At 41.9% G+C, this 15,508-nt stretch overlaps 1 protein-coding gene across 4 annotated transcripts in view; it reads left to right on the plus strand.

The window, feature by feature from the left end:
• Window positions 1-15,508, plus strand: part of CXorf58 (chromosome X open reading frame 58) — a 31,578-nt gene that overhangs the window by 566 nt on the left and 15,504 nt on the right. For 3 of the 4 annotated variants that reach the window (XM_011545473.3, NM_152761.3, NM_001169574.2), the window contains exons 2-5: window positions 1,786-1,921; window positions 3,260-3,359; window positions 7,203-7,297; window positions 7,720-7,831. In XM_011545473.3, coding sequence (XP_011543775.1) covers window positions 1,806-1,921; window positions 3,260-3,359; window positions 7,203-7,297; window positions 7,720-7,831 — 423 coding nt within the window. In that variant the 5' untranslated portion in view covers window positions 1,786-1,805. Of the gene's footprint in view, window positions 1-1,785; window positions 1,922-3,259; window positions 3,360-7,202; window positions 7,298-7,719; window positions 7,832-15,508 lie in introns of those variants that run through there. The other variant, XM_011545474.3, reaches the window with a different exon arrangement.

A 15,508-nucleotide genomic window follows, 5' to 3' on the forward strand; every position in this document is an offset into this window, starting at 1 on the left:
AACGGAAGTAGGTGGGCATGATTATTATTCCCAATACATAGATGAAGAAACTGAGGCACGTAGAAGTAATTTGTACAAGACCACATAGGAAGTGGGAAGCTAGGATCCAAACCCATTAGTCTGCCTTTGAAACCTGTGTTCTAGCCAAAACAATTGTTGCACTGTCTCATAATGAGGATGTATTTCCTATTTCATTCTGTATTTCTGCCCTAATCCTATAAAAAGTGTAAGCCCCATCCAGGCGAGCATCTGGAAAAATTTAGAATTTGTACAGTGACGTGCCACTGCCCTCCAGCCAAAGACCACTAGGGGCACACCTGTAGTTGAAGAAATTGGGTTTCTCATTGCTGCAAGGAGAACGCACACGTAGGAACACAGTGACATATTTCAGTAAAAGAGTTAGATTTATTATAGGATTTGGGCTTTGGTTCGGTGATTTTGGGGCGAGTTCAAGGAAGCAGGAGCTTTGCTCTGGATCGGGTGTTGTTAGGAAGCAGTGGTAACACCAAGGCCCAGCTGTGACTGCCAGCCTTGGTGTTAGTTAAGCCCAGCTTAGCTCCCAGATGTTAAGGGCTGCTTTTCTCTTTCTTAAGAGGATTGTATATTCCAAGGCATCCCCAAGGAGAAATACTGAATAGACTCAGAAGGCTCTCTGCATCAGCAGTGTAACGTCACACATACATAAAAATGTGAAACATATTGATAAATTAGGGCAGAAGTTCTTAATTCAGGGGGTATGTGAACTTGTATGGGGGAAAAAATGACAACTTCATTTTCACTAACCTCTAACTGAACTTTGTTTCTTTCAATTATAGTGTAGATAACAAGCCACAGTAGTATTAACATTGATGACTTTGTCATCAATGGAAAGCACAGATATTTTCATGTTACATTGCAGTCATGTCAGGGATCTTGAAATATTTATGCTCGTTACTACAAAAATACAGTAGTTATTAGAGCTCATTTAATGCATTAAGAAGACACATTTACTATAATTTTGTTTTAAAAAATATTTTGATGATTTCAATATAATTGGAGCACCTTGTAATCCTATGTATTTTATGTTATGCGTTTTAAAACCAATTCTTAGAAGAGATCTGTCCATAGGGGTCCATGGCACCAAAAGAAATGATAAAGAGCCCCTGGTTTAGTAACAGAGACCAAGCAGTGAGTAAGAATTTGGGAGCTGCATCCAAATTGGAGCATTACTGCATCCAAACTCGTTGCTTTAAAGAATAGAAAGTTGGAGGTGGAATCAGAAATTTAGTGTATACCCTCTCACTTTACCAAGGAGGGAACTGAACCACTGAGAGGTTAAGTGACTTGCCCAAAGTCTCACTGCTATTTGGTGATAAAACTGGGACAAAACGTTTTTAGACAAACATGTAAAAACTCTCCACTGTGCTAGGCACTGAGGACTCTGTAGTTAACAAGATGCCTCCTGCCCTCAATGAGCTTGTTGGTAGACAGCTGGAGAGTGAGGAGATTGAATTATTGAGTTAAAAAGTTAACTCCAGGTGTAGTGTGGAAGATGAATAAGAGGAGAAAAAGACTGGAGACAGACCAGTTAGAAGGCTATGGATAGATTTACTTGTCTTTTCCATATACCATATAATATTTTTAGTACACAAAGAATGTAAACTGTAAGCAACTTTAAGAGATCCACAATGCCTTCCTTTTTAAAGGATTCAGAATTAGTACAACAATCATATGGCACTTGAGTCTTGTCCAAACAGTGTAATAGTATAAATTATGACCTCAAAGGGTTAATTTATGTACTTTCAGATTACTTCATTGGAGGGAAAATGAATCGTTCCTCAAATGTACCACGTAAAGGTATTCTGAAATCAGGTACAAGATCCTTACAAAAAGTTCGCAGAGTACATTTCGCAAATGCACGAAATGCAAGATCATTACTATCGTAAGTACCTGTGTTTTGCCTTGTGTTATCTTCCACAACTGTACAGTTTCCAAACAGTACTTATTCAGATAACTTCAAATGCTTCTTGTTTTGTAAATCAAAGTTTTTGTGTTTTAAAATTACTTTCAAATTGAGTAATTATAATTGCATTTTCTAATTTACAAAGCATATTAACACACATCTACTTGATCCTGATACAACCTTGTGAAACAATTTTTACATTTTATAAATGAAGTAGTAGCAACCGGGAGAAGGTAAGTGGCTTGCAGAAAGTTATCAGCTAATAAATGGCATCAGATAGGATTCAAAGGTTTGTTTCCACACTTCAGGCTTTTTCCTTTCTTTTTTTTTTTTTTTTTTTTTTTCAGACAGAGTCTCACTCTGCCACCCAGGCTGGAGTGCAGTGGTGCGATCTCGGCTCACTGCAACCTCTGTCTCCTGGGTTCAAGCGATTCTCCTGCCTCAGCCTTCCGAGTAGCTGGGATTACAGGCATGCACCACCACGCCTGGCTAATTTTTATATTTTCAGTAGAGACGGGGTTTCACCATATTGGCCAGGCTGGTCTCGATCTCCTGGCCTCAGGTGATCCCACCCGCCTCGGCCTCCCAAACTGCTGGAATTACAGGCGTGAGTCACTGTGTCTGGCCTAGCCTTTTCTTCTTTATATCTTGTAGCCTGCATTTTGCCAGCCAATGGGTAGCATTATGCAGGAGTACCTGTCTTTGTACATAGCGCTGTAAGGGGTAATGATGGGGTGAGAAGGTATGAAGGAGGAGACCCCTACAATCTGCCAGTGCTGGGATATGATCAAAAGTAGAATAATTCCGACTTGACCTGGATGAGCCTGGTTCAAGCAAAGATCAGAGAAGGAAGTTTCTTTTTCTAGGGCATAGTCATCCACCCCCAGAAGAGAACTGGGCCTCCTGTAACTTTGACTATTCCCCATTCCATTTTCATAGCACTTGAACTAGTTGGACGTTTCATTTTAGGTCGTGAATGTTTTTGGGAAGTAAGCTTGTCTCCTCATACTTTTTATTTATAATATACATGCCTCTTAATGATATATTTATATTTTATATGCCTTTTGATGACAAAGTTTTGGCCAGGACTTTTTTTTTTAATCTCAAGGGAAATCTCCTCAAGTATTTCATATCCTCATTCTGAGTAGATTCTGCAAATGACCACTTCCAATTACCACATCCAAATGTTCCTCATTAGGTCAGTCTTAGAGTGGGGGATGGGGAGGTACAGGAGGAGGAAGCATAAATTGATAGTTCTCTAAGGTTTTAGGAAAATGAAAACTACTTTATAAATATTAACCTCTTTTTTTCTCTCAGAATGCTTAAAGACATTTCAGCTCAAATAATACAGAGGGCTTGGTTATCTCATACAAACAAAATGATATTTCGACTCCTAAAACACGCAATTTGTGCAGCGGTATGTATTTTGCTTATTTTTTTCTCTGAGGGATTTAATTATCAAGCTAAAAGATCTATTAATTAAAGATCGAATAGATAACCTTCTTTATCTCCTCTTTTTTTTTTTTTTTTGAGAGGGAGTCTGGCTCTTTCACCCAGGCTGGAGTGCAGTGGCACAATCTTGGCTCACTGCAACCTCTGCCTCCCAGGTTCAAGCGATTCTTCTGCTTCAGCCTCCCAAGTAGCTGGGACTACAGGCACCTGTCACCATGCCTGGCTAATGTTTTGTATTTTTAGTAGCGATGGGGTTTCACCATGTTAGCCAGGATGATCTCGATCTCCTGACCTCGTGATCTGCCTGCCTTGGCCTCCCAAAGTGCTGGGATTACAGGCGTGAGCCACCACGCCCGGCCCTTTCTTTATCTCTTCTATTTGGATCTAATAATATCACGTGGAGTTCTGGAATTGTTTCTTCTGTTAGCCCTAGATGAGTATTTCTGGATTTTTTAAAATGTGGATGACTATTACTTTTTTCTGAAATTAATATACTGCTTGCCTTGTTTTGTTTTTAAATTTGATTCCTTATTTGAAAATGTGAGACAGTTCTCTTCCAACAATAAAAAGCTCCGAATCTGCAAGGTGCAGCATCTCACGCCTGTAATCCCAGCACTTTGGGAGGCCAAGGCAGGGAGGGCCAGGAGTTCGAGACCAGTTTGGCCAACATTGAGAAACCCTGTCTCTACTAAAATACAAAAAAATAGCCAGGCGTGGTGGCATGAGCCTGTAGTCACAGCTACTTGGGAGGCTGAGGCAGGAGAATTGCTTGAACCCAGGAGGTGGAGGTTATGGTGAGCGGAGATTGCGCCACTACATTCCAGCCTGGGCGACAGTGAGACTCTGTCCCCCTTCAAAAAGCTCTGAATTAAAAGTTCCCTTACCTTTTATCCAGCAATTTTACTTCTAAGAATCTGTTCTACAATACATACACAATTTGATTGCACCGTTGTTTGTAACAGCAAAGGGAGTAAACTGTATAATATCTATTGATATGATGCTGGTTAAATAAGTGTTGCTGCTTTTATAGTGTTAAACTTTGCAGCTTTAACATGATTCTGCAATAGAAAGGAAATGAAGATAGCTCATCAGTTAAAAAAGCAAGCACCAGACAGTATGAAGAGCATGATCCTACTTGAGTGAAAACCAAAACCAAAAAAAAAAGGTGCATATCCCCCCTCCTCCAGAAAGCAACTCTGGCAACCCTAGCAGAGCCTTCCTTGGCATAGTACCAAATATTCTAATAAAACAACCTATAAATCCAGTAGTCTATTATTAGTGATACTCTTTTTTTTCTTTTCTTTTTTGAGATGAAGTCTCACTCTGTTGCCCAGGCTGGAGTGCAGTGGCATGATCTTGGCTCACTGCAACCTCCACCACCCAGGTTCAAGTGATTATCCTGCCTCCGCCTCCCTAGTAGCTGGGACTACAGGTGCGTGCCGCCATGCCCAGCTAATTTTTTTTTTTTTGTACTTTTAGTAGAGACAGGGTTTCACCATGTTAGCCAGGCTGGTCTCAAACTCCTGACCTCAGGTGATCCACCCTCCTTGGCCTCCCAAAGTGCTGGGATTACAGGCGTGAGCCACCACACCCGGCCAATTAGTGATACTCTTAAGGGAATTTTAGCAGCTCTGAAAAAAATAATAAAGTCTGAGCAATGTATACACCGTTCACCATCTGACCCACAGACCTATTTCTGATGTCAGTAAAAGCAGAATACGGCTGGGCACAGTGGCTCACACCTGTAATCCCAGCGTGAGCTGGGATCTTTAGGAGGCCGAGGCGGGTGGATTGCCTGAGGTCAGGAGTTCGAGACCAGTCCGGTCAACATGGTGAAACCCCGTCTCTACTAAAAATACAAAAAAATTAGCCGGGCATGGTGGTGTGCGCCTGTAATCCCAGCTACCTTGAACCGGGGAGGTGGAGGTTATAGTGAGCCGAGTTTGAGCCACTGCACTCCAGCCTGGGCGACAGAGCAAGACTCCGTCTGAATACTTCAGAGAAAACCCACCCAGGTAAACTCCTGGCATTTCAGGTCTATTATCCATTGTCTTTGAATATGGAACTTGTATTTAATTTTATAATGCTGGTTTCATAGTATTTTTAGACTTTTGTAACAGAAGGAAATTCTTTTTTATCTGTTATAGTAATACTTTAATACCTTAAATTAATAATGCTTTGTCCTTTTAAAAGCTATTTATTTATTTATTTTGAGACAGAGTCTTGCTCTGTCACCCAGGCTGGAGTGCAGTGGCACGATCTCGGCTCACTGCAACCTCTGCCTCCCGGGTTCAAGCGATTCTCCTGCTTCAGCCTCCCAAATAGCTTGGACTACAGGCGCCTGCCATCACGCCTGGCTAATTTTTGTATTTTTAGTAGAGATGGGGTTTCACCATGTTGACCAGGTTGGTCTCGAACTCTTGACCTCAGGTGATCCTCCCGCTTTGGCCTCCCAAAGTGCCAGGATTATAGGCGTGAGCCGCAGTGCCCAGCCTAAAAGCTCTTTAGTGTACATTTTTATGTGATTATCATAGGCATAACGGGGTTGGTTGGGGTTGTTTGGGGGAAAGAGTTGGGACTTTAGAGTCAAACAGAACTAAATGAATCCTGGCTTCCCCATTCACTACCTGTATGCCTTTTTATAAATTACAAAAATTCCCTGAGCCTCAGCCTTCTCATCTGTAAAATAGGCGTGATAATATTCTCATAATGGGCCAGGTGCAGTGGCTCACGCCTGTAATCCCAGCACTTTGGGAGGCTGAGGCGGGTGGATCACCTGAAGTCGGGAGCTCGAGACCAGCCTGACCAACATGAAGAAACCCCATCTCTATTAAAAATACAAAATTAGCCAGGCATGGTGGCGCATGCCTGTAATTCCAGCTACTCAGGAGGCTGAGCAGGAGAATCACTTGAACCTGGGAGGTGGAGGTTGCGGTGAGCCGAGATCATGCCATTGCACTGCAGCCTGAGTGGTGGCTCACACCTGTAATCCCAGCACTTTGGGAGGCTGAGGCGTGCGGCTCACAAGGTCAGGAGTTCCAGGCCAGCCTGGCCAATATGGTGAAACCCCGTCTCTACTGAAAAAATACAAAATTAGCCGGGCGTGGTGGCAGGTGCCTGTAGTCCCAGCTACTCGGGAGGCTGAGGCAGGAGAATCGCTTGAACCTGGGAGGCGGAGGTTGCAGTGAGCCGAGATCATGCCACCGCACTCGAGCCTGGGCGACGGAGCGAGACTCTGTCTCAAAACAAACAAAAAATTCTCATAGTGTTGCTGATGTAAGGATTAAATGAGCTAATGTATATAAGGCACCTAACATAGTAGTATATGGTACATAAAAGGTGCTTAAAAGCTAGTAACTTATTACTATTATCATCCTCATCTTACAGTGATTCATTCAACAAATACTTCTTAAGCATCTGCTGTGTTCCAGGCACTGTATTAGATGCTAGGAATATAGTGGTAAAGAGAAAAGCCACCATCCCTACCTTCATGAAGCTTACAGTCTAGTAGGAGGCACAGACAAGTTGATAAGTAATTATAATATATTGTGAAAAGTGCTGTCATAGGGAAATAATAGTGCCTTTGATCTCTAAAAGGGACAGATAACCAAAGTTGGAGGCCAAAATGATTAAGTAACTGGCTCAAGGCTACACAGATAGTAAGTGGAGGTGCCAAAACAAAAACCCACCCCTTCAGAACTCCAAGTCCAGCATAATGTTCACTTTACCACGTTGCCTCTGTTATAGTCCATAAATTGTGTCTGGGTGGGATACTGCTTTCCTTTTACAGCACTGTCCTTTATTTCAGGAATTCTATGTAACACATGAAATACTGAAGAAAGTGGCCCCCTTAGAGGCTAAGCTTATTAAGGATCCTACTATGCAGTGTAAAATTAGATTCAGGTAATGTATCTATGCTGATTTATTTCAAGAAGTACTTAGTTAATATGAGGAAATCTTAGATATGGATTTTTTAAATTCTTGTAACTTCTCAGAACTTAATTACAAAGTAAATGTGTTATTCTTATTTACATTTGTTATGTGAAGAAACCGAGGCATGACTCTGTGGCTAAAAGTTGCCATGAGAGTAGCTCTCATCTCCCATTCTGTATTCAGTCTTACACAGGTATGAGAATAGTTGTGAGTACACCAAAGTGTGGGTCTTACATCCTATGTGATCCATTTCATTACCAATTCTTTACATGCTCTGACATAGCCTTTACCCTGTATGCAAGAAACTATATGAACTATCTTAAGTATAAGGGGGAAAAGCAACTGAGCCCAAAACCTGATGCCAAATAACTAAATTTTTATCTTTATTTCAGATTTAGAGGTGAAACGTTTCCACCTTTCATCGTGTTTAAAATTTTTCTTCATACTGATGGCCATGGTTACAAGTATTTTAGTGGAAAAAATGTATTAATGCCGTCAAGTAAGGTGACGTTTCATGATGTACATTTTATGTTAACTTAGCTTTTTAACATCTACATAGTATCTGAATTGCATTCAAATTATACAGAATAAGTTATTTCACCATGAAACAGCCCACCAGGTAGGTAGTGTGTTTTTTTTTAAGCACCATGTTTCAAAGTGTCTCCACTTACTAGCTAAAAAAAAAAAAAAAAAAGACATTTGGAGTGAATTACTTAATTAAGGCTCTAGAAAATATCCATCCATTTTTATGTATTAAAATTTTTATTTGTTAATAATAGACTAGGCCAGGCGCAGTGACTCATGCCTGTAATGCCAGCACTTTGGGAGGCCGAGGCGGGCAGATCACCTGAGGTCAAGAGTTTGAGACCAGCCTGGCCAACATGGTGAAACCCCATCTCTACTAAAGATATAAAAATTAGCCAGGTATGGTGGCACATGCCTGTAATCCCAGCTGCTCGGGAGGTTGAGGCAGGAGAATCACTTGAACCCAGGAGGTGGAGGCTGCAGTGAGCCAAGATCGTACCACTGCACTCCAGCCTGGGCGACACAGTGAGACTCTGTCTCAAAAAAAAAAAAAAGACTAAAATTGGTCAGGGCTCTTAAATTATGCAGAACATTTAATTTAATGCCATTTTATTTGTTTTAATGGAATGTTATTATTTCTTTGATTCTGGTAGCACATTTAGAAAAAAAATGGTCTGGACTATGCTATTGAAAATGAACTTTCAGCCAGGCACGGTGGCTCATGCCTGTAATCCCAGCACTTTGGGAGGCCAAGGCGGGCGAATCACCTGAGGTCAGGAGTTCAAGACCAGCCTGGCCAACATGGTGAAACCCCGTCTCTACTAAAAATACAAAAATTAGCCAAGCGTAGTGGTGCATGCCTGTAATCCCAGATACTCAGGAGGCTGAGGCAGGAGAATTGCTTGAACCCTGGAGGCAGAGGTTGTGGGGAGCTGAGATCGCACCACTGCACCCCAGCCTGGGCAACAGAGTGAGATTCTATCTCAAAAAAAAAAAAAAAAAGAAAGAAAGAAAATGAACTTTCAAATATTTATCCTTTTTTCACATGAATTCTCATCATACTTATTTATTTCTTTATTTATTTTGAGACAGAGTTTTGCTCTTGTTGCCCAGGCTGGAGTGCAATGGTGCGATCTCAGCTCACCACAACCTCCACCTGCCAGGCTCAAGTGATTCTCCTGCCTCAGCCTCCCAGGTAGCTGGGATTACAGGCATGCACCACCACACCTGGCCAATTTTTGTATTTTTAGTAGAGACGGGGTTTCAACATGTTGGCCAGGCTGGTCTCGAACTCCTGACCTCAGGTGATTCGCCCGCCTCGGCATCCCAAAGTGCTGGGATTACAGGCGTGAGCCACCACACCTGGCACTCTCATCATACTTTTAAGTTTCATGAATATTCACCACAAATTGTGTCTACAGTATAGGAATCACCTGGGAATCTTGTTAAAATGCTGCCGCTGCTGCTGGTCCATAAACCACACTTTATTTTATTTTATTTTATTTTTTTGAGACGGAGTCTCGCTCTGTCGCCCAGGCTGGAGTGCAGTGGCATGATCTTGGCTCACTACAAGCTCCGCCTCCCAGGTTCACGCCATTCTCCTGCCTCAACCTCCCGAGTAGCTGGGACTACAGGCTCCCGCCACCACGCCCGGCTAATTTTTTTTGTATTTTTAGTAGAGATGGGGTTTCACCATGTTAGCCAGGATGGTCTCAATCTCCTGACCTCGAAACCACACTTTTTTTAAAATTCATTCAGCCACTCTATATCTTTTGATTGGAGAGTTTAGTCCATTTACATGAATGTTATTACTGAGAAGTACAGACTTAGTTTTGCCATTTTCATATTTGTTCTGGTTGTTTTGTGGTCTTCTCTTCCTTCTTTCCTTCCTTCCTGCCTTCCTTTTAGTGAAGGTGATTTTCTCTGGTGGTATGTTTTAATTTCTTGCTTTTTATTTTTTGTGTATCTGTTGTATGTTTTGGGATTTGAGGTTACCATGAGGCTTGCAAACAATATCTTATAACCCATTATTTTAAACTGGTGACAGATTAACACAGATTGCTTCAACAAACAAAAAAATAACAAACAAGCAAAGAGAAACCAAATAAAAACTCTGCACTTTAACTTCATCTCCCCACTTTTTAACTTTTTGTTTTTTCTATTAATATCTTATTGTATTGTCTATGTCTTGAAAAGTTATTGTAGTTATTATTTTTGATCAGTTCATCTTCTAGTCTTTCTATTCAACATATGAGTAGTTTACACACCACAATTGCAATGTTATAATACTGTTTTTCTGTGTACTTACTATTACCAGTGAATTTTGTACTCTCAGATTTCTTATTGTTTATTAATGACCTTTTCTTTCAGATTGAAGAATTCCCTTTAGCATTTCTTGTAGGACAAGTCTGTTATTGACAAAATTCCTAAGCTTTTGTCTGAGAAAGTCTTTATTTCTCCTTCATGTTTGAAGGATATTTCCACTGCATATACTATTCTAGGATAAAAGTTTTTATTTTTCCTTCAGCACTTTAAATATGTTACATCACTCTCTCAGCCTGTAAGGCTTCCAATGAGAAGTCTGCTGCCAGACGTATTGGAACTCCTTTGTATGTTGTTTGTTTCTTTTCTCTTGCTGATTTTAGGATTCTTTCTTTATCCTTGACCTTTGGGAGTTTGATTATTAAATGCCTTGAGGTAGTCTTTGGGTTAAATCTGCTTGGTGTTCTGTAACCTTCTTTACTTGGATATTGATATCTTTCTCTGAATTTGGGAAGTTCTCTGCTGTTATCCCTTTGAATAAACTTTCTACCCTGATCTATCTCTCTACCTCCTTTTTAGGGCCAATAATTCTTAGATTCACCCTTTTGAGGCTATTTTCTAGATCTTGTAGGCATGAGTCATTCTTTTTTATTTGTTTTCTTTTGTCTGCTCTAATTGTGTATTTTCAAATAGCCTATCTTCAAGTTCACTAATTCTTCTGCATGATCAGTTCCTCTGTTAGGAGACTCTGATGCATTCTTCAGTGTGTCCATTGCATTTTTCAGCTCCAGAATTTCTTTCTGCTCGATTATTTTTAATTATTTCATTCTCTTTGTTAAATTTATCTGATAGGTTTCTGAATTCCTTCTCTGTGTTATCTTGAATTTTGTTGAGCTTTCTCAAAACAGCTATTTTGTTTGTTTTTTGTTTTTTTACGTCAGAACATGAACACAAAAACAGCTATTTTGAATTCTCTATCTGAAAGGTTACATACCTCTGTCTCTCTAGGATTGATCACTGGTGCCTTATTTAGTTTCTTTGGTGAGGTCATGTTTTCCTGAATGGTCCTGATGCTTATGGATGTTTGCCAATGTCTGGGCATCGAAGAGTTAGGTATCGTAGTATTTACTGTAGTCTTTACAGTCTGCGCTTGTTTGTAACCTGTCCTTCGTGAAAAGGCTTTCCAAGTATTCAAAGGGACTCAGGTGTCGTGATCTAAATCTTTGGTCACTGCAGCCATATCTGCATTAGGGGGCACCCCAAGCCCAGTAACACTGTGGCTCTTGCAGACTTGTAGAAGTACTGCCTTGTTGTTCTTGGCTAAGATCCGGAAGAATTCCCTGGATTACCAGGCAGAGACTTTTGTTCTCTTTCCCTACTTTTCCCCCAATAAATGGAATCTCTCTCTTTCTGTACTGAGCAGCCTGGAGCTGGGGGACGGGTAAAACAAGCACCCTTGTGGCCACCACCACCACTGGGACTGCACTGGGTCGGACCTGAAGCAAGCATAGCACTGGGTCTCTCCCAAGGCCCACAGTGACCACTGCCTGGCTACCATTTACTCAAGGCCCAAGGGCTCTACAGTCAGCAGGTGGCAAATCCGGATAGGCTTGTGATGTAAACCACACTTTTAATAGCAAGGCTCTACAGTACAGGTTTTACTCCTTGGACCCTTATACATGACTATATTTAAGTTTTAAAAAGATGGACATTCTCATATTTGGCCATTTATAAACCACATATCAAAGGTTATTTTTCTGTAACCCTGGCAAGATCCCCCTTCTGGAAATGTACACAAAAACTGTGGCCCATCTTAAATCATGAGTTCTAGCATGTATGCAGGAGAGAAGACCACACAGCCTGGCAGTTTCTGATCAGATCCTGCATGTGCGGCATTGACTCTGAAGAGTTTTAGAAAAGGAAAAGGGACCACTTTTCTCCATGTTCTCAGGTAGTATCAGAGAAAATTTAACTTTATTTCAGAAAATTATCAAATGAAGCCAGGCTCGGTGGCTCATGCCTGTAATCCCAGCACTTTGGGAGGCCGAGGCGGGAGGATAACCTGAGGTCAGGAGTTCGAGACCAGCCTGGCCAACATGGTGAAACCCCGTTTCTACCTAAAATACAAAATTAGCCGGGTGTGGTGGTGGGCGCCTGTAATCCCAGTTACTTGGGAGGCTGAGGCAAGAGAATCGCTTGAACCCAGGAGGCAGAGGTTGCAGTGAGCTGAGATTGCACCATTGCACTCCAGCCTGGGCAACAAGAGCAAAACTCCGTCCAAAAAAAAAAAAAAAACACCTAGAAAATGAGCTACATGTTTTCATTATGGAATATGGTGTTTCAAGAACATTAATATTTATATAGATCAACTTCAAATGTGGAAGTATATGTTTATCCTACTTGAAGGATAAATTTATGCCACATTTATGTATAGAATAAGCTTGTAGTTACCCCTATAAAATATCATCAATTGTTTCTTTCCTAGGATTATATAATGAGGCTTTTTCAAGAACTGAAATCCTCCTGGGTCTACTCCTGCCACCCCCTTGCTGTACACAGGCTTGAGCAAATGAGAACCTTAGAGGCAGTGATTGGAAATCACTGCTTATGCATTAAAACCCATCATAATGCTGTATAATAACTTAAATTTTTGTTTAAATTAGCCCACAGATAGAAAAATATGCCTCCGTGCCTTTATCTTCTGTGCTACAACTTTCACTCTCCTGGGGTAGTCATTGTTAATGGTTTGCTGTGTATCCTTCATGTTTCCCATGAAAATACACACATAGAGATTTTTAAATTTTGTTCTTATTATAAAAGTGTGGTCATATTATTGACCTTGAATTTTTCACTAAACATCATAACGGGTTTTAAATGATCAGAACATACCCAACTTGAACAGTTTAAGGTTCCTTTTTCCCTTTAGTTCAGCTTCAAACTCTGGTAACACTTGGATTCATGGTTGATAGAAAACTTGTAAATATGGAATATTTCTCACTCTAAGCTTACTCAACTCTGTTGCTCTTTGTCTCTTTGTGTTTTTTGTTTGTTTTTGTTTTTTGTGTTTTTGTTTTTTGTTGTTGTTGTTGTTGTTTTTTAGACAAGGTCTTAATCTGTTGCCAAAGCTGGAGTGCAGTGGCACCATCTCGCAATCTTGGCTCACTGCAACCTCCCCCTCCCAGGCTCAAGCAATTCTCATGTCTTAGCCAGCTGAGTAGCTGGGATTACAGACATGTGCCACCATGCCTGGCTAATTTTTGCATTTTTTTTTAGTAGAAAGGAGGTTTTGCTATGTTGGCCAGGCTGATCTCGAACTCCTGGCCTCAAGCGATCTGCCCACTTCCGCCTCCCAAAGTGCTGAGCCTACTGAGCACTTTCTATCAAATATGATCTTAAACATTTTATGCACATTACTCTATTTAATTATCATAAACACTACAGTGTATTTTCTGTTATTATCCTCATTTTAAAAAAGACTGAGGGCCGGGTGCTGTGGCTCACGCTTGTAATCCTAACACTTTGGGAGGCCGAGGCAGGCGGATCACTTGAGGTCAGGAGTTTGAGACCAGCCTGGCCAACATGGTGAAACCCATCTCTACTAAAAATACAAATATTAGCCAAGCGCGGTGGCACGTGCCTGTAATCCCAGCTACTCGGGAGGCTAAGGCAGGAGGATCGCTTGAACCCAGGAGGCGGAGGTTGCAGTGAGCCGAGATTGCACCACTGCACTCCAGCCTGAGTGACAGAGTGAGAGTCTGTCTCAAAAAAACAAAAACAAAAACAAACAAACAAAAAAGACTAACTTGCCTAAGGTCTCACACCTGGAAAATGAAGGAACCGAGATCAAGACCTAGTAGCCTGCCTCCAAAGTCCCAGTTCTTAACCACTCCTGAGAGTTAGGAACTATGCTAAACAGCAGCATACACATTCTCTTAGATGGCCCTGCAATAACTCTGGTTAGGGACACATTATTCCCATTTTCCCTATTAGGAAGCTAGAAGTTGGAAAGACTTGCCAGGAGCATAACTGAGACTTGAACACTTCTCTGTGTTTCCACTGTACTATGTACATTTTGAGGTTAAAACAACCATGCAGTTATGGTGGTTTTGTTTATTCTGAACCTGTATGTAATTGGACTGTTCCAAACCAAGAAACTGTTCCAATGCATGGATACCAGTTATTACCTCTTCCATGAGTGACAGTTCCCAGTAGAAACAGGAAAGTGTCTTGAGATACTAGAGTAGCTTTACAAGCCCAAGTGTGGATCTAGGCCAGCAAATAGCCACAGAGCTGTGGGGGCTTCTGGCCACAGAGATGCTGAGTATCAGGATAAGTGCCAGATTTAGAGATGGCCCGCTTTGACGCTTTGAGTCACCCACTAAGAACAGAACCTGCCTCTTGAATCCTACCCTGATTGGCTGGTATCCTGGAATCTTTGCCTAGTTTTTGCCCTTGCTTTTCTCCTGGCTCTAGGCTCTTCTTTCCCATTGCTTCCTATGGAGAAGGACTTTCTTGACTTTGGCCATACACTGCAGATGTCTGAGAAAGAACATCTTGGCCATTGGACAGCAAACATTTCTCAAACCCCTCTCACAGGTGGGCAGAGAGCTTGCCCTATGCTGCCAGGCATGTTTTTCTTTGGCTGAGGGACCAGAATGGGCCAGACACAGATGAGGCACACAACTGAGGCACTGCACACATAAGGAAACTGGGTCTTGGAGAGATTGGTGGTGGTGGCTGAGTGGGGCAGTGTAGGGAGGACCTGTCAATAAATACCTTTTTGGGGAGGCTAAGGTGGGCGGATCACTTGAGGTCATTTCAGGACCAGTGTGGCCAAAATGGCGAAATTGTCTCTACTAAAAATACAAAAAAAAAAAATTAGCCAGGCATGGTGGCACGCACCTGTAGTCCCAGCTACTCAGGAGGCTGAGGCAGGAGAATTGCTTGAACCCGGGAGGCAGAGGTTACAGTGAGTCAAGATGGCACCACTGCACTCCAGCCTGGGCGATAGAGGGAGACTCTGTCTCAGAAAAAAAAAAAAAAACCCTAAATAAATACCTTTTGTACTGTGGCTCACGCCTGTAATCCCAGCACTTTGGGAGGCCAAGGCAGGCAGATCACCTGAGGTCAGGAGTTTGAGACCAGCCTGGCCAACATGGTGAAACCCCATCTCTACTGAAAATACAGAAATTAGCTGGGCGTAACCCCAACACTTTGGGAGGCCGAGGCAGGTGGAACAGAAGATCAGGAGTTCGAGACCAGCCTGGCCAACATAGTGAAACCCCGTCTCTATTGAAAACAAAAATTAGCTGGGCATGGTGGTGCACGCCTGTAGTCCCAGCTACTCAGGAGGCTGAGGCAGGAGAATCGCTCGAATCCAGAAGGCGGAGGTTG

The sequence above is a fragment of the Homo sapiens genome, chromosome X, assembly GCF_000001405.40.
Source record: "Homo sapiens chromosome X, GRCh38.p14 Primary Assembly".
NCBI lineage: Eukaryota > Metazoa > Chordata > Mammalia > Primates > Hominidae > Homo > Homo sapiens.